Source organism: Homo sapiens, chromosome 2 (assembly GCF_000001405.40).
Source record: "Homo sapiens chromosome 2, GRCh38.p14 Primary Assembly".
NCBI lineage: Eukaryota > Metazoa > Chordata > Mammalia > Primates > Hominidae > Homo > Homo sapiens.
Genome location: NC_000002.12, coordinates 148,519,492 through 148,539,221, shown reverse-complemented (window position 1 = coordinate 148,539,221; position 19,730 = coordinate 148,519,492). Strand labels below are relative to the sequence as shown.

Below are 19,730 nucleotides of genomic sequence, written 5' to 3'. Positions count from 1 at the left end.
GGATTTCTGAGCTCGAAAGCTGCCTGGACGGATTCAAGAGGTGACGTGCACAGCTATGTCTTGGGGGCTGAGCCCAAGGGGCCTGACCGGTGCCTTCTGCGCTGCCATGCTGCCCTCATAGTGGCTTCTGGGACACCGTCAGCCCTGTGCTCCCCAGAGCCTGCATCAGAACTTCTCGAACTTTTCTGCTGAAGTGTCCCTAAGAAGAGCAAATGCCTGCCCCTGAGCCATAGATAGGAAATTTCTTTTAAGTCCCTTGTTCTATCTTAAAAATTCATGTGAATTGTGCATCTTACTCCATAATCTATTCATGCTTGTTTTAATATAAATATATTCTTTTCCTCAAATATTCAAATAGAATATACAGTTCTAGGAAGTTGCTGGGAGAAGGGGACTGGGTGTTGAGGAAAAGGAGGGAGAACTTGGCCTCTCACATCTGAAACCTTGTTTAATTCTCTCCCCATAACCCTATGAGGTAGAGGCTTTTTTTTTTTTTAGAGGAAATATCTTTCTGTGAAAGAACTAAAACATTACAGGTTTAAAAAAGCTGAATGTGAACATCCTCTATAATCTAACTCCCTAAAGAAGCCCCTGGTAAACAGTATCTGTGGTATCTTCATTTCCATCAGCCCTGCTGAGTGTGGAACATCCCTGCCCCCCAGAGTCTGTGACTTGTGTCTTGGTTGCACTGTGACTTGCCCTGTGCACAGAGAACAGACTCCTGCCTATTTCCCATTTTGTTCATCAGATGTAAGCTTTGGCCTGATGTCAGCTCCATCAGAAACCAAAGGAAGTGCCAGGAGGGACACTAACTTCGTAAGGCCCTACCCTGATCTTACTTTCTAAGTTCCTGAGGTCATGGCTGAATCTGACAGTTTCCCAGCATGGAGCTGCCATGAGCTGGTAGCCAGGTGCTCAGGGATCTGTTTTCATGAAGAGAGGAGCCCATGCAGACTTCCATTCAGAGCCTAATGAGGAGGAGGGAAGGAGGTGGACATGATGGTGTTTGTCCCCCTGCTGTGGGTAAGAGGTGGGATTAAAAAGAAGCTACAGACAGAAGGTCAATGAGCTCCCTGCCACAGGGACTTTGGAGACCCGGTCCAGAGGTTGGAATTCAACACAGCGTTGGGGTGAAGGTCTTTCTCCCACATTTGCAGGTAAGTAGGAGCTCAAGAAGATGGCCACGCTCCCAGAGATTCTGGCCAAAATGCTCATGAGTGGCTTCATGGGCAGCGATCAGTGAGGGGTCCAGGCAGAAGATCCTGAGAGGGAAGCTGGTTTTTTACACAGGGGAGACCCCAGCAATACTAGTGGGGGGTGGGGGGGAAGGGGTCAGAGACAATGACCCAATATAATTTAATGTTAATAGTTATGTGGCCTAACAAACATCCACATCTGGGGAAGGCTTAGGGAAATTCAGCTTAGAGGAAAATTCCATCAACCAAGCATTTCATCATGTGATCCCTTTTGCCCATGGATGGTTCTAAAAACAAAAACAAACAAAAAACAAAAAACAAACTGAAACGTACATATTGAATGAATTTGCCCCTTCAAAACAGTATCTCAGGAGGTTACCCATGCATTCCAACAATGCTCATGATACTTTCAGAAATTATCTTTGAAAACTGACTTCAGAGCCATTCCGTGAGTCATACTTTGGAGTCAGCTGGTTTGATCGCCCAATTTATTCTTCAGCTTTGCCTTTGAATAATTTTTGTTTGGTTCCAAAGATAAAAATCGTTTGTCAAATAATTATGCTTGTCCACCAAGCCTCCTCCTCTGTAGACTGTAAATTTCTTGAACCAACGGAGCATGCCTGGTTCATCTTTGGCCATCCAAGCCCTGGCCAGGCACTTCAAAAATGCCTGATCCACATTTCTTCTGAGGCTGTTCACTCTACTCCATAGGGCTGTTCCCAACACTGTTAGGTTCTACAGATAGCAGACCCCCAAAATCAAAACATCGGCCTTCTCTTCCCAGGTAGCTTTTTGGGATTAAACAGTTATCCCTGAAAAGGAAGGGTTATTCTAAATCTGCACCCACCCTAGCCCATGGTAGAAATACCTTCTGGAATAAGCATCAACAATTTAGCCTTTTTCTGTTGGTTAAGGTCACAGGGAACAGTCTGTGAACATTTTTCTCTATGTTGCTTTTCTTTTCAGGGGTGTAGAATAAAGATGAAAAAGCACAGCTCTGGGAGCACACAGAACAGAAAGCTGACACTCGCGGGATTGATTATGCATTCACTTATTTATTACAATTTTTAAAAATGGCCCAGCTGCTTCAGCTTACACAAGCTGGGCTGAAATATTTCACTCGATAGTATTCTCATCTGGTGGTTATAATACTGAGTGAATTAATGCAAGGGGTTTTTTTAACCCTAAAAGAAGAAAATCAAAATTAAGTAAAAAATAATGTTAGTGCCTAAAACTGGGATTCAAACATTCAAGTGTTTCCAAGGAATACCCATTGTTGGCCTTCCCTTCCCGACGCGTTGGTCCGTAGCAGCCCCCGTCCCTAGGGGTGCATATGGGACCCCCTTCACCTGTGAGGTTTTCCGGTTGCTCGCATGTGTCCCTCATGGGATCCAGAAGGCCTAGGCTCACACCTCTTCACGTGTATCCTATAAAACGCTCCCAGGAGATCCCTAGCCTCTGGCTGAGAATATGTGATCTGTAACCACGTGATCACTGCTGCCATGTGGTTTCGCTCCTGTTAGCATCACGTCCCTCATACATTATGTTTTGATCAAATGATGGAATAGTCTGATGCCAACTGTCTTAGACTGGAGGAATGTGTTGGCTCACGTAACTGGAGATCCAGAAGTAGGTTTGGCACAAGACGTTGTTTTGTTCAGCTACTCAAAAGGTGTCAAGAACGGGCTCCTCTCCTCTCAGCGTGGCCCTTCTCGGGTTGGTTATTTACCTCAGACAAGCTCCTTGTGAAGGCAGGAGGGCTGCTAGCTGCTCTGGCCTTATAACCTCCGAGTCCATCAGAAACTTAGCCTCCATTTCTCAGCTGTTTAAATGACGTTGTGTGATCTGACTCTTGGGTCCTAGTCGGGTTCCAAGTGCCCATTTCATTGGTACCAGGTGGGTTTCATTTTTGAACACAGAAGTCACTCTAGATATTGAGAGCAGACCAGGATTTAACACAGGTACTGGATGCTTGCAGAATTGTTGGATGGTCTGAAGGAGTGAGTTCCAGGTGGAATCTTCAGAAATGACTCCCAGAACACAGCAGAACTGACCTGCTTCAGAGAGCTATGGTCTTTGAAACACCTGGCAAGATGGGGGATCAGGAGACTGCCATGGGAGCAACTGAGTTCAAGTTCACACGCCATATTTGTAATACAGGCCTCAGGAGGCCAGCACTGCCACCCATCTGCTTCTCAAACCCAAGACACAAGTGTCACATACCTGTCTTCCAAATCTTGAGTGGAACATTTTGGATAGTAATTTACATTCAGATCATTGTCCACAGAATAGTCAGGAAAAGGTAGATTTTAGCTGTACAGCTCTTGCAAGTTGTAATACAGGACGGCACACTGGAGAGAGGTTGGAAAGGATTCTGAGAGCCAGTCCACCACGGGAAGAGGCTTATGGGGGTGGGGCGGGGCAAGGCTTCCCTTTGCCAGGCCTTGAGTGACACTTATCTCCTGGGACTAGGGGAAGGTCAAGTCCACTGGAGACAGGAGGAAGGTCAAGTCTACCAGTAGCCTGGGGACCAACAGTCCAGAGGAAGTTTAGGTTATAGTATAGTCATTATACTGTTACTAGAAGGTGAGGTAACAGATGCTGGGTGACAAAACCAAAAAATGTCCCCTGCAAGGTATATGAAGCTTCATCACTTACAAGCACCTTCATGTACACTAATTCATTTGATTCTCACCAAACCCCACGAAGAAGGAAGGTCAAACCCCATGAAGGAGGAAGGAGGAAGGTCAAATAGTGTCATTCCCATGTTACAGATGAGGAAGTCCAGACTCAGAGGTAAGAGCTCACCCAGGTGAATCCCTTACAGCTGGTGAGGGGCAGAGCTTAGATTCAGACCCAGTCTCCTGACTTAAATCCTGTTTCCTTGGGCTGGATCAGAATGAGAAGAAACTTCTTTCTGAAACAAAGTTGCTGGAGCCCAGCCCTTCTGTGCAGAGTCTTGTGCCAGGGGAAAGCAGTTTCCCATGTTCTGGAAGCTACGGTCAGACTGGAGTACGGGTGGTGGAGGACTCTTGCGCAAGAGCAGGGGTGGGACACAGGCACGAGCACTTGGGTGCTTTGCCTTCTCATCATCTGGTCTTTATGTGAAGAATAAAGGAGGAGTTTCACATTTGTTTGTTTAATGACGAGTGTTCCAAGATGCTACAGTATCATTATAAATTATAAATTCAGGGCAGGGATGGGCCATTTCTCCCAAACAGCAATATTTTTAGCATTAGCCATTCTCACGTAAATGCAAAATCTTCTTTGATAAGAGATCAAAGCAGATCCCTCCTTCCAGCTTTCCCTGTGGGCTGCAAAGTGACTGGATTTGCATAAACCAGATTACAGCCACACAGAGCTGTTAGCAGCATTACAGATGCCTCCTGCTGTCAGCACCCAGGAAAGCCCACACTTCCCCAGAGAGGAAAGCGACGCTCTGGGGGAGCTGCTTCTCCGTCAGGTTCTCGAAGGCTCAGGCCTCTACAGTGACAGAGATCTCAACCCCATACCACATGGCCTCCTGGGGCACCGCATCTAAAAGATGGGGATTTGGCCTGGGCCAGTGGGGAAATGTGAATTTGGGAGCACGTTCTTGGGAAAGAAGAGGAAGCATCAGGGCCCATCTCTGGGAAGTGCTGCCTCTAGCTCAGACTGGGCCCTGACAGCCGTCTGTGCAGATGGCTTCACTTCACTGGGCAGTGAGGCCATATCACATTTGGGATCAAGGAGGATCTCCCTTTTCATGCATGTGGTTGGGTCAACAGACTCTTAGAATTCTCACCACCCTCCTGCAGAGAAGGCCTTCGAGAGGAGCCGGTCCCTACCGAGGTCCTGGCCAAGAAGGGTCAGGTTGGCTCAGTCTTCATGTCATCCACACCAGGACCCGGAGAGGCCTTTATAGCACTCTGCACAGAGAGCTGTTTTTTTTTTTTTTTTTAATTTTTATTTATTTATTTATTTATTTCCTATTGCTTCATTTTACCAAAGTTAAGGAGACACTTTGGTTATGGGCTGAATTGTGTCCCCCCAAAATTCCTATGTTGAAGCCCTAACTCCCCAGTACCTCAGAATGTGACTGTATCTGGAGACAGAGCCTTCAAGGAGGTGATGAAAGTAGGTCATATGGGTGGGGCCTAAGACAATATGACTGGTGTCCTTAAAAAGAGATTAGGACACAGACGCTCAGAGAGGGAAGACCATGTGAAGACATAGGAAGAAGACGGCCAAGAAGAGAGGCAGGCCACAGAAGAAACCAACTCTTCTGATACCTTGAGCTTGGACTTCTAGCCTCCAGAATTGTAAGAAAAGAAATTTCTGTCGCTTAAGTCACCCAATCTGCAGTACTCTCTTATGACAGCCCTAGCAAACTAATACATCTGCCCTCAAGAGCAACTGCAAGCATGATTTCTTGCCCCTGCTCTCTAGCCCTTTTTCTGAATAGAACTGCTAATAATTTGCCCTCTGGATCCAGAGATGGCAATGAGGCCATCCCCCAGAGGCATGAGCTTGGAGTCCCTTCTCACTGACTGTGGTATCATCCACATGTGTTCTCTCTCTCTCTTTCTAATCTTTCTAGTTCTGAGGACTTGCAGAGGCTTACCAGGTGCTTCTGGCTGGGGAACAGTCTGTGGAGGGGAACAGAGGGGAGGAGAGGACCCACATGTACAACCTACCTTCTCGGTCCCCTCCATTCTAGCTAACCGACTCACCAGATCTTACAACTCTTCCCTGCATCACGGGTTTAATCCAGTGGGCATCACCTTCCCAAGTGTATTTCCAGCAACACCAGCACAGCACACAGACACATGCTTGCCTGCAGCTTGTGTTTTTCAGACAGGGCCTGTGCCTCGTCCATGCAGGCATGATGAGGCTAATCACAGTCCTAAGTCTGAGCTGCTGAGACGTTGTTGATGATGACCATTGGCGAACCAGCCACTTGCTCACGGGCCTTCACAGTATAGCCATTGTTCTGGTTATCGTATTTATTTATAAGCATAGTGAAATCTTGGGAGAAAAAGGAGTAACCACACCACTAACAGTGTACAATGCAGATCACCTCTTCCCAAGTGGAAGTCCTGTGGCACCCATTGATCCATCCCAGGCTTTTCATCTGCACTGTCTCCTGTCTCCTTACCAAGCTCCCCTGTGTGGGCAGCTCTCCTCGGGACCATCTTTGTCCTCCCCACCACGCCCAGCACAAGTCCTGGCATGAATTGGTGCTCAATTCATATTTTCCGGAGGAATAAATTATGCTCATAATTTAGATTCATTTGCAAATAAATAGCAATTTTCATTTCAAAGTATTTCTCCTTTATCATCCTTTCTGTAACCATCATTGCAGTCAGGGAAACAGAGATACAAAAGAGTATTTGGGATTTAGAGGAACCTCTACTCCTATTTTCCAAACATAATTGTCCCTTCCTTCTCCCCATATCTGATACTAGTAAGATGAGACTTTTCCCAAATAATTGGCCCAACATCTTCCATGGTGCCTGGACTGGAGTAGGCATTCAGGAAATATCTGTTGAATGAATGGATGAGCGAGTGAGTAAACGCTCATTTAGGGTAAAGGACAAATGTTCTTATTTAACACTCAGCCACCCAGTAACTCCAAGTTTCTTAAAACTCCTTCTCACGTTCAGGCCTCACAGCCTCCACTTAGCACATTGTTTCAGAAATGTTTTCGCCAAGTGCCCCTATCTCAGAAGAAGACACACTCTTGGTGATCTGGCCCAGATTCCAGAGTGTCCCACAGCACGGAAGCTTCCTCCGAGTCCTCCTGCTGGACCTTCACAACGTGCGTGGGTGGTGTATCCTCCTCCATAACACCGCGGTGTTTGTATCTATGTTAAAGTATTTTGAATCACTCATAGCTGAGTATGACTGATGCTCCATGAAAACGTGTCCTGTCTATTGCAGCTTCCATTGCCTCTGGCACAATACCATGTCCCCTCAGGCGTTTGTGCACCCCTGAGTGCCCAGCAGATGCTGAAGCCAGGGAAGCCTAAGTCAATCCACTGAGCTTAGGAGGAAAATGTTAGAACTCCCCTTATACGGATTTTTAATGTTACCATGGGATGTCAGAGGGTGGCACTATCCTGCCTTAAGCCTGTCTGGGAGGAGCCAGTGGACAGTGTGGTCCTGGGGCTGGGGCTTGGGGTGGAGCAGGACTGCTGCCCGGTGCTCAGAGGCCCCTCAGAGCGGCTGGTGGTTAGCCCACCTCACTCCTGCTCTTGCATTAACACCCCCCACCCCAGGCTGGGGGCAGCTGGGAAAAGCCCCCTTCTCTAAGGGCACTAGGAGCTGATAAACCTGGCTTGTTTGTGATATCTAGAGGTCACTGAAGAAGGCAGCTGACTGGCAAGGGTGTGCATGAGGGTGGGAAGAGTTTAATCTTAAATTGGGTACATCAACAGTTGCATTTTTAGCTCAATATCAGCAAGAGCCTGCAGGCACAACATTCCCTGTGGGAGCATTCCCAGGACAGACAAATCCAGGTGGGCTGTGGTAGAGAAGGCACTGACAGGAAGGAGGGCTCGTCCGGAGCGGTGCACACATCCACTCATGCGCACATATACACAGACACACAAACACACACACATGCATGCAGGCACATAGACATGCAAACACACACATATGCACATGCACACATGCACATACAGACACAGACACATAGACACATGCACACACAGACATGCACATATGGACACACAGACGCAGACACGTACACACGTACACAGACACATGAACATGTTTATACAAACACACAGACACATGTACATACATACACACATGCACAGAGACACACACCTGCACACACACACTCACCTGCACACATACAAACATCTGCACACACACATGCACATACACACACCTGTACAGAGACGCACATGAAGAGCAGAGTTAGGGAGTCCAGGGAGCTTTGCAAGTCCTCCAGCATCAGTGGGTGTCAGTTGCCTGGTCTGGGCATATGGTGTGGAGTAGGCAAGTTTTAACATGAGTTTGAAGGAGGAGGATACAAAGCACAGAGGTTACACAAGAATAAATGATACAACTGTAAAGAAGCATCAGTGAAAATTAAGAAAAAATATAGATCATTAATTCATGTAAAAGAAACCTGTTAAGTGGGATGAGGAAGTGGAGATGACAATTCTAGACAGCTGTCTTAAGCCCACATCCAATATGAGTATGGAAGCCATCCAGGTGGTAGAGATGGCGAGCGCAGCGGACACATCCACGTGGAGGAAATGGTGAGGGCATGATTTAAGGGAGGTGTGGCACATTGAAGGATGTGCCTGCAGCTCCATCTGGCTGGAGCATGGGCATGAAAGGGCGCAGGCCCAAGAGCTGGGTGGAGAGAGAAGCTGGGGCAAAGCATACGAAAGGTCTCCATCCCAGGAAGCTCAGCTACCTTCACAAAATACCAGACCACGTGGCATAACAACATAATTAAGCAACATTTATTTTCCCACAGCTCTGGAGGCTCAAAGTCCAAGATTCAGGGACTGGTAGGGTTGTTTTTTCCTGAAGCCATACTCCTTGGTTTGCAAAGGGCCACCTTCTTGCTGTGTCCTCTGTGCAGAACACACTGTTGGCGTCTCACCCTCTTCTTATAAGGACACCCATCCTATCAGATTGGGACCCACCCATCTCACCATGTTTAACCTTAATGCCCTCCTGAAAGGCCCCATGTCTAAAAACAGTCACATTGGGGGTTAGGAACTCAACATATGAATTTGGGGGGACACAATTCAAGCTGCACTCAGGAGTTGAGATTTTATCCCTTGAGTTTTACTCAGCAGAGTAACAGATTTGACAGGTCTGTTACTTGCTCTGGTGGCAATGTGGATTCTTAATTAGAGAGGAGGGAACCAGAGCCGAGAGCCTAGTTCAGAAGTCACGACTGCATCAGCAGTGATGCAGATTGAAGGTGATGGTGGTCTCAACTGGACAACGGCAGTGGGAATGGAGAGAATTGAGAGATGTTAGGGAGGCAGTCATTGGCTTAGGGGAAAGGGAGTGGGAGGCCTTCTAGTGGAGGCAGCTACTCTTCACTGACAGGGCAGTGGCCAGTGAGGGGTGCCTTTAAGGGGCAGCTGGTGAGCGACTGGAGTTGAGGTTCTGGTGCGGCAGAGGGAATGGGAGATGAGCGCTAATGGACCCACCAAGAAGGCTGGCAGTGAGTTTAGTGTGCTTGGTTTCAATGGAGGGGCACTGCGCAAGCCTGGGGGATGTCTCAACTTCTCCCTGCAAAGACACAAGCCCAAGGTCACGACCTCTGCACTAGTGACCCATTCACAAAAATAAGTGATTGACAGGGAATTGGCAATGCAAATCCAGAAAAGAGCAAGGAATCAAGACATGCACATGCAGAAAAGAACACTTAGAAAGTGAATACAAGATGAGGAGATGGAGACAATTACAGGCACTTTCAAAAAGCTGTCAGCAAGGAGGAGAACAAGGGGTTGAAGGTCTTTTTATCGAGTTTTGTTTGATCTTTCACGAGGAGAGACACATTTGCCTGATGGTCGCAAGAGGTTGGTAGAGAAGGAGAGGCTGAAGGTGCACGGGAGAGGTGGCCCTGGGGAGAGTCTCCCAGTGGTTTTTTTTTTTAAATTTTATTTTACTTTAAGTTCTGGGATACATGTGCAGAATGTGCAGGTTTGTTACATAGGTAAATGTGTGCCACGGTTGTTTCCTGCATCTATCAATCGGTCACCTAGGTATTAAGCTAGTGTGCATTAGCTATTTGTCCTGATGCTCTCCCTCCCCTTGCCACGCCCCCCTAACAGGCCCCGGTATGTGTTGTTCCCCTCCCTGTGTCCATGTGTTCTCATTGTTCAGCTCCTACTTATGAGTGGCAACATGCAGTCTTTGGTTTTCTGTTCCTGTGTTATTTTGCTGAGGTTGATGGCTTCCAGCTTCATCCATGTCCCTGCAAAGGACATGATCTCATTCTTTTTTATGGTTGCATAGTATATTCCATGGTGTGTAGGTACCACATTTTCTTTATTCCAAGTGGTTTTGGCCTTGGGAGGTGAGCGAATTCTCATCTGCTGCTTCCACCTTCTTTGTGACAAGATGTGCCACTTTGGAGCCACACCTCTTGTTTTTATGTGGAGGAATTTCAGTAGGCCCACCTCCCCTGGCTCTCTCCCCACCCAGCCCTCCCTCTCCCTGTGGTCAGTGTTGGCTCCTGGATGGAGAATCTGGGAGAAGGAGCTAAAGAAGCTCACCTGGACCCAGGCTTGCTCGCCCCTGCTGAGCCCTGTACGTGCTCCCTTCTTTGCATGGCCCATGTTCTCAGTGACTGGTTCCGAGGTGCCTGGTGGGTATACAACCGGGTGTGTGGGAATACTGACTCTTCATGGATCCTCAGACAGGAGGCTGGAGGAGCATGTAGGCAATGAGAGTAAAATGCCTTTTAGACTCTGCTTTGCAAAGCCGTGCCTTGGAGGGCAGGATTCTGGAACTCAACCTTTCTCTCCCCTTTTGATCAAGCAGCTCAACCCTTATGCCCCTCTTTTGTTTCTGCTTCCTGGTAACATTTCTTTTGAAGAAAGTTTTCTTGTGGTTAAAAAAAAAAACTTTTAAAGAAAACCTACAAATCTAGTGCAACTGCCTCATTTTTCAGATAAGGAGGCCCAGAGAGTCAACTCTTTCACCTTTCTAGATTTCAGTTTTGATTTGCGAATTGACTATTTTTCTTAAATTGGAGCATATTTTTTATCCAAGTTCTGAACTGGAACCAAAAGAATCACCATGAAACACATTTCCTTTGAAAACTGAATTCAGGTCAGTGACATTGGCGATAGCCAGGCCAGCAGCGGGGGACGAGGAGACCCATGTGTGAAGCTGCTCCTTTCCCTCCGAGTCAAGTGCATGCAGCCGGACCAGAAGTTGGTGCTTGCAGATGTGCAAAGTAACCCGGGAGCTCCTGATTTCTGGCATTTTACATAGGTCCAGGGTTCACATGTAGTGGGGAAGATGTGCCTCTGCCAGGCATCTGCTGGCCACTGAGCAGTCCCCTCCAGAGTCAGAGACTGTGGATCAGGAAAGAGCAGGGAGAGCGAGGTGAGGACACACGGGTTGGCTTTGCTTCTGGCACCCACCTTCTCAGCTGGTGGGTGGCCTGTCTCCCTGTCTTAGCTTAGGCTGCCATAGCAAAATCCCACAGACTGGAGGCGCTTAAACAACAGTTCTGGACGCTGGAATTCCAAGATCAAGGTGTCATCGGGGTTGGTTTCTCCTGAGGCCTCTCTCCTTGGCTTGCAGATGGTCATGCTAGAATTAGGGCTTCAGTGTATGACTCTGGGGAGGACATGATTCAGTCTATAAAACTCCCTTAACTCTCTGAAGTGAAGCTGTTTTGGTCGGAGGCTTATCCTCTCCCACATCTCTTCCTGTTACCTGAATCAGGCCTGGCACAGTTCTCAGGACCTCTTTCAACAGCCCCTGGCATGGCCTGGGAATAGATGTATTCTGCTCTTTAAGGTCCGAAATCCTCAAAACCCAGCTGAGTGCTGGGAAAAGTACCCTTCTCTAATATGACACAAATGGTTTAGGTTAACTTGGCCCAAACTCTTAATTCTACAGCCTTCCTACAATTTCCTACTTTTTTGTCACCAGCTTCTCTCTGACTCCTTGCTAAGTTCCTCAGGCCTGCTGGCCTCAGACCAGCTACAGAAGTCCATCCTTTTACAGTCTCCACACACTCACAAGCAGCATTTTCCCTGGTCACTTAACTTCCGGATGGTTTCCACGTGCAACAGCCTTCTGCGACCTCCTCCTGACCCTCAGCCCTTCATCTTCCCCAGAGCTGGGGCTCCCCTGTTTATTTGGCCCCTGGGAAGTGTGGCCCAGCTCTCGTGTGCAGCTGATGGTGTGCTGCCCTGCTCAGCTCCCCTTCAGGACCGAGGAGACCATCTTCTATCTGCATGGGATGTTGCCCCCAGAAGCTCTCACAGCTGAGCCCTTCCCCAGGAACTGCCCCAGACTGAAGGGAGCTGCCTCACCAACAGGGCATCCTACACCCAGTGACTTCTCCATGGGAGGTGGGGTACAAAGCGTAGCCCTTATGCCTCCCTTTGGGGCAATGTGAAAGGCCACCCCAGTTCCAGTTTCCCATGGAACTGGCTGATGACTGTGCTGCCACTTCCCCCTCTGCTCAATGTCCTGTTGCCTCTCTACGCTCACAAGTGCTGACCCTGAGAACCTTCCCTGGTAAACTTCTTGCATGCCAATCTCCCTCTGTGAGACCATCTCTGGAAAACCTGGGTCTGGCTGCCCCCGGGGGCAGCCCCATCATGGTAATCTGCATTTCCCCAGCCTCCCCCAGAGTCCTAGCAAGTCAAATTCTCTCCATCTTTTGTCATCATCCCCTTTCTATTGACAGATAAATGAAGGCTTGGAAGGGAGGAGACATAACAGGACCAACCTCACCTTGCACTGGTGGCAGAGCCAGCTGGAAGGGCACGGCTGCTGGGTTATGTGCCACTCCCTGTGGGTTTGGTTATCTAGTTGGCTTACCATGTGGTGCTGTGGGTGCCGGATGGTAAAACTAAGCTGGATAGTCTTGGCTAACAGAGAAGAAAAATCTCTCCATATCCATGCATCCCATCGCTTTGTGCTTCCTCATAGGTGGGTCAGCATCATCAACACTCCCTTGTATAACATCATTCTCTCCCACCCAGAATGCTCAATTTCCTTATCCAGTTGGGTTAGGGTTCTTTTGGTTGCCAGGAACTGAAACCCATTCAGGATCATGAGGTCAGGTGATCTCTGGAAAATCCAATAACTCTAAGTACCTGAGTTTAGGAAAGGTTGGGTGTCAGATGGCTTCAGGGATCACTTCTATCTCATCTCCCTTTTGAGAGGTGGTAATTCATGGTGGCTACAAGCAAGCACTTATAAAACTAAAAAAAAAAAAAACTAAATAGGGAGCCAGTCTATTTAGTATACATCATGGCTTTCCCAAGAGTCATTTTGGGCACACTATGTTTATGCCTTGGTTTCTTATCTGTAAAATGAGGATAATCATAGCATCCATGTCATAAGATTGCTATGAGAAATAAATAAGGTAATTTAATGTAAAGGACTTAGGGACTTAGTGCAGCACTTGGCATACAGGAAATGCTAGAGGTGATCGCTCTTTCTCATTCCCGGCTTCTCCACTTTCTTCCCTGTATCTGTTGTTCTCTCTTTCCCAGCTACTTCCTGTGGTTCCCCATGACTTATGCATACACACGACCTGATAACAGCCACTTTATTCTCATCAACTTGATTTTCATCTCAAGGATCCATTCCTGAAGGGCATCTCCTCTCTGTGCCTCTTGGTTTGGGCTTCCTATGAGAACGAATCTGATTGTTCCATATTCATCTTTTTGAGGCCAGTCAGTCAGGTGACATGTCATTGGAAACTTAGGTTGGCCCTCCTCAAATCAGGTGCTCATCTTGGTCCAATCACCCAAGGCCAGGAGATTGGAATAACCGTTGGGATAACCAATTCCCTTTCCACTCAGCAGGCATGTGGGTAGGGGTAGATTGTGAGAAGGGAGAGCAGGTAGAGCAGAAGCCCCTGAGTATGCCTACTGCAGCATCCTGCCAAACAACCTAATCCTGGCTTTCCCTTTGCCATGATTTCTTTCACTGCACATGTTGAAGGAACAATCTTTCTAGATGGCTTTGCTCCCTCTCCGCCTCCTTTACCCCTTGCATCTGACTGCCCGTTCTACACACTCACCTGGGTGTATTTGCTAGAAATCCCCTATTTATGTCCTGGAAACAAAATTCACAGCTGTCTGGTCCTTTTTCTTCCTGACCCCCCACACCATTGAGGCTCCTCTGTGAAATCTCCCCTTGTGGGTTCCATGCTGCTGGCCATCCTTCCACTCCTCCTGCCTCACTCTCCAGCTACTTCAACAGACACTTGCATGTCTAATCTTCTGACATAGATTGTGAGCTTCTAGAAGATAGAAACAATATTCCACAGAGTGATTTAACAGTACTATGTAAGTGACCAATGGCAGGGAGAGGCTTAAAAATATTGCACTGGAGGTGTCATGGCATCCATGTTTCTATACAACGAGGGCTCCTTTTTAAGCTATAACTTCAATCTAAATATGACTAACTCTTTCCATGAAAAAAGGTACAAAGCCCTTACTCCCTTTGGTGCTGTGAATGTTTATCTATCTCCAAAGAGAAAGCACAACAACCATCAGAATATGTAGGTGGCAGAAACAGGAAGCTATAAATACCACAATACCAGATTTTTTAAAAGAGCTTCATGGAGGAAATCAAAGCAGTTTATAGGAAATGATTGGCACTTAGTGTTTCATGGTTGTGTTTCATGCAAAGGCTGAGACATACCACCAGGAATCTGCGGCAAGAGGCAGCAGATGACAGCACAGGAAGCCCAATGGTGACCTAGATCAGACCAGAGCTATGCCTTCAACTAGACAGGTTAAGAGTGATTGCCAGCCACTTTTCTCATGAAGGAGAGACAGAAGCAATTCTTGAAGTCCTTTGTTGTTAAGCACAGAGAATAAAATTTCTCTGGTTCTTACTGCAAAGAATGTTGGCTTAGTCTCAACAAGTACTTGCAGTTGGTTTCACAGATTCCTTGAGGAGTTGTTATAAATCTGGACTGAATGGGCCCAGCCTTCCTATTAGATGCCTGGTATCCTGAGTGGGCAAAAAAAGGTGAACAGTCCCTCAATATAGAATTTAGTCTTACTGAGGTTTCTTCATATCTGTATATGGTAAGTGTGATAGGCACTTGGTAAGCATATGCTCAATGGAGGAGATTCATTCCTCCTGGAACAGATTAGGCTTGATGTCAATTCCTGAAATAAAGGGGCTCCTACTAGGACTAAAGCTAGTTAATGAATTTGATTACTTTGTCAGGAACATGAACTATTCATTACAGGGCATGATTTAAAAACTCAGAGGTCAGTTCCCTCTTTATCAGCATGAGCTGATTCTGAGCTATCCTTAATACAAAATTCAGCCTCTAAACTAGCTATAACAATAAAAGCAATTATACCACACACATCATAACTTTTTTGAAATTTCTCTAAAGATTTTTGGAGGCACAAAGGGAGTTTATGTTGCCCAGTACATGGCATAAATGGCTTTTCAAGAAAAAAATTTCTTTTAGGTACGTCTCTTCTTCCCAGATATCTTCCTGGTCCTCCTATGGAAAATGGGGTGGGTTTGAGGGCAGAGCACCTGCCCTTTTCCACTTTCTACTGGCTTGGGAGACCTGCTGCCACCCCACTTCCACCATGATCTGGCTTCTGCTTACTTTCTATGCTTACTGTCTACCCCTCTTCTTCCTTATGTTACATTCAAGACTTATTAAATCCCTTACAGTTCCCAGAAAATCATGCTGTTCTCTACCCCTCCTTACCCCTCAGCCCCACTCCTGATCTCTGCACTTCTTTTCCTCTTTCTTGAATGTCTTTTGCCCCTGCTGGCCATGCCTGAACTCCTATTCTTTCATAAGTCACTTAACTCGATTTATTTAAGCCTCCCAGTGTTCCAAAGCCCATTGTAATGCATACCTGGTTTGTGGCTCCTGTCAGTGTCTTGCAATGACTGTTTCCATGTCTTTCTCATCTGCTGGAACATGAGCTCTTTTTTTCACTTTATCTCAGAGTTAAGATGATCTATAAATTCTTGAATGACTGAACAAACAAATGCAACCCCTTAGAAACCTAGGCATTACCTGGAAGCATGGAAATTTACCCAAATTGCTTTATGGATGTTTTTGTTGTTCACCTGGTTTAGTCTTTAGGATTATAAAGCCTCCAGAGCTCTGGGTTCGGATTAAAAATCTGCCATGAGCCAGTTTCCCTCAGGGCTGGGCTCCTAAGGGAAAATGCCTCAGAGTGGCTAACTATAGGATCCCTGGGAAACATTTGTCCTTGTGCCTTGAAAAGGCCTTAGCACATGAGTCAGGATACCTTACAATTTCACTTGTACAGTGTTTGCAAAGCACCTTCATATGTGTGTTCATGTGAATTTCGTGATAACACTGTGGGGTAGGCAGGGTAATATCATGGCCTAAACAGATGCAAAAACTCAGGTTCAGAGAAGGTGAGGCACTTGCCCAAGCTCACACAGCTAACAAGAGAGCTGAAAATAGAACACAGGTTAGCTCCTGCTCCACAATACCATGACCTTATCAATGAGTTGACAAGAACCATCCTCCTTGGGTACTTGTCAAGAAAGCTGGGAGGCTGGGAATGGGTGGAGTACACGTGCGTGTGTAGAGTCAGGAGGCCTGACCCAAGCTTGGGAAGTTCTGCAATGGCTTCGGTGTGCCCTGTGGTTATCCCCTTGTATACTGGGTAGGTGACTCTCCTGAGCAGGTGACAGAGCCTGGCAGTGATCCTGCCTCGGATCCAGATAAATATATTTGGATAGAAACTTTGAGCTTGTAGACAGATCAAGATTACTCACATAACCTGATATAAAGCACAGCTTCCATGTTAGTTACCAGATTTTCAAGAATTCTTTCCTTCTATTCTTCTTTCCTTTACCATTTAATTAGAATTGATCATATGCAGCTGAAGAGGAAAACCTGGGTTCTTCTTTGAAGAGCTCATTTTGATGGTTTGGTTCCATCACTGCCTATGCTCATTGGAGAAGCTTATTAGGACCTTCCAGTATTCTGTCACTCAGGCCAAGACTGCCAAAGTTGAATGCACACACCCTGGCCATGATGCAAGGCAATCCACTGGGAAGAGGGAGGAAAATATAAACCTATCAGTTCATCTCAGTTACCTAGTTTCTATTTTGTGTGTTTTATAACACATATGATATATTAATTCAGTAGCACACATAAAGTACATATGCACATATGTATATATGCATAGTATGTCCTCAATTTTATTTTTACTTTACTGATAGGAATTCTTGAAGAAAAGTTTGGAGACCATTGCCTTAGAGAAAGGAAAGCTATGCTCTGAGACAGGAACCACACAGCTCTTTCGCTGTGTTCTCTGCTCAGAAAGCTGCGGGGTCTTCACAATGGCCATTGTCATGGCTTGATTCTTTTGGCCAACATGGTTGCCTTAGAAGGCACAAGGCACACACTTCCCCTACCACCCCCACCCTTCACCCCCTTCAGGATCCCCTGGACATTTGGGAAGAGCCAGGAAACCAAGAGAAATGGAGAAGGAAATGGTCTCTTCTTGCCTTTGCTGACTCTTGCCTAGACAGACAGCTTGTCCAGAAGCAGCCCAGTGCATCTCTTCATTCCAATTCTTGCATGCTTTTTTCTCCCAGCTCTGGTGAATGTTTGCTTCCCACTTTGCCAAATAAACCAGAACAGTGACAATTAGCCTGAAATCACAAGCTCCTGACCTCCATGCTTATTTAGGAATTCAAAGGAATCCACCGATTCTAAATAATCCTGATTTGATTGGAAAAGGGAGACAGAGTCTGTAAAAGGTCACAGGAGATTTTCCCTAAGGTTATCTCCCTGACCACCAAAGTTATTTAAGATTAACTTGGCAGGGAAAGCTGTGTTCTAGGGGGACCTGGTCACAGTTCAGGGACCAAAGCCTCAGGCCACCAGTCCTTCTGGCTGTGTTCCTCATACACAGTGTTCTGCAGTGGGAGCTGGAAGGACAGGAAACCCCACAGAGGCTCTGCTAAAACCCTCACAGAGGCTCAGCTAAACCTACCCCCTCTACCGGTGCTGAACACATTCTGCCCCCATCTTTTAGCAAGATATGCCCAAGTCTTCAGTCTGGAAAAGTCTAGGTACAGAATTTAGACATGAACTTCCAATTAAGAAATAAATAATCATCCTTAATAGCACTTAAAAATACTACCACTTACAATATTAGTGCTTTCTTCTCCCCTTTTAAAAGCATTCTTCCATGTATTATCTCTTTTCATTTTTATGGTAGTCTTTTGAGTACATCTAATCCTAAGATAGTTATGAACACCCTCTTACACCTACTCTCTTACTCCCAAATCTTCTGGGAACTTCCTGACTCTTGATTGGTTCAAAATCTTACTCCTCTCAAGAGTATCCATGTTTAAATTAAAAGAAGAGAACTACATGGTTAAATGTGAACAGCAGGACCCTCTTAAGTGACCACTGCACGGAAGGCTGGTTCTCTAACATACATGAGGGCTGCATCACTCCCATAAACTGAGTGAGGCTCAGCCTCTAATATTAACAGTAGTAACAATAACCTAACTTACATAGCACTTACCATAGAGGACACCCTTCTAAGTGTTTCATCTGTATTCATTTAGGTAATCCTCACATAATTTTATGAGGTAGGTTTCTTATCATCCCAATTTTTTAGGTTAGTAAAACTAAGGCGGGGGAATTTGCCTAAGGTCACAGAGCTCCTGAAATGACCGGATCCACATCCTGGGAGTCTGGCTCCAGGATCTTTTTAGTGATTTGTACCAAATCATAGATCACAGAGCCAGTCAGTGCCAAGATCGAAGCCCCCAAATTTCAGTCTCTCAGGTTAAAAATATACTTTTCCCTGTACTGAACTCTGCATTCCCTGATTGGACTGATTTTAGGTTGTTTATACTTTCGAGTCCTGAGCTATTTATTTACAGAGCTGGTTCCAGCTTCGCCCAGGCTGAAGGTTAGAAGTTCTTGAATTATACGATTCTGACTCTGCCCTGATCCACTTCTGTGTGTGGCATCATGGACGGTGGAATTCATCTAGGCAACACTCTCAGTAGTAGATCCAGAAACCTTGGGCTCTAAGGGGAGAACCAGAAAAGGTGGCCACAATGCTGTTCCCTTTCAGCAGAACTTTCCTAGACAAGTAAACCCCTCTCCTACCTGTAAAGGTGTCCCAGGAAGGCCAGGCGTGGTGGCTCATGCCTGCAATCCCAGCACTTCGAGAGGCCAAGGCAGGTGGATCATTTGAGGTCTGGAGTTCGAGACCAGCCTGGTCAACGTGGCGAAATCCTGTCTCTACTAAAAATAAAAAATTAGCTGGGGGTGGTGGCACGCGCCTGTAATCCCAGCAACTTAGGAGGCTGAGGCAGGAGAATTGCTTGAGCCTGGGAGGCAGAGGTTGTGGTGAGTTGATATTCCGCCACTGCACTCCAGTCTGGGTGAGAGAGTGTGACCCTGTCTCAAGAAAAAAAAAAAAGGTGTCCCAGGAAGATACAGTCGATACAGTCACTCTAGACAGATCTCCTCCTTATGTTTGACAACACCTTTCCCCTTTGCTAACCTAAAACTTTCATACTGCAGTTTAATAATAAATGTTCCCTGAATGCCTGGCATGTGCCAGGCATGAAGAGCTTTATCAAATCTACATTATCTCATTCAATCTTTAATCAATCCCACGAGGAAAGTGCTGTTATCACCCACTCTTTTGTCAAAAGCTAAGTATAGATAGGTTAAGTAACTTGCCCAAAATCAAACAACTAGTTAGTGGCACAGTCTAGATTTGAATGTATCTAGATTGGGGGACCCTTCAGGGCGCAGTCTGTAACTGTTCCAATGGGTTGCCCCCAGTTGAGGGTTCATTT

At 46.4% G+C, this 19,730-nt stretch overlaps 1 long non-coding RNA gene across 1 annotated transcript, besides 1 other annotated feature; it reads right to left on the bottom strand.

The window, feature by feature from the left end:
• Positions 1–9,798: 9,798 nt before the first annotated feature.
• LOC124907896 (uncharacterized) lies at positions 9,799–19,142 on the bottom strand. The gene is made up of 2 exons (XR_007087259.1): positions 19,030–19,142; positions 9,799–17,515 (listed from the first exon to the last, which is right to left on the bottom strand). It is a non-coding gene; the product is annotated as an uncharacterized LOC124907896 (long non-coding RNA).
• Positions 15,491–16,028: an enhancer, noted in NCBI's record as "OCT4 hESC enhancer chr2:149280763-149281300 (GRCh37/hg19 assembly coordinates)". NCBI's record gives its function as "activates a minimal SCP1, AML or CMV promoter by ChIP-STARR-seq in naive H9 embryonic stem cells {active_cell/tissue: H9 hESC(naive)}" and the evidence as "EXISTENCE:reporter gene assay evidence [ECO:0000049][PMID:30033119]".
• Positions 19,143–19,730: the final 588 nt, after the last annotated feature.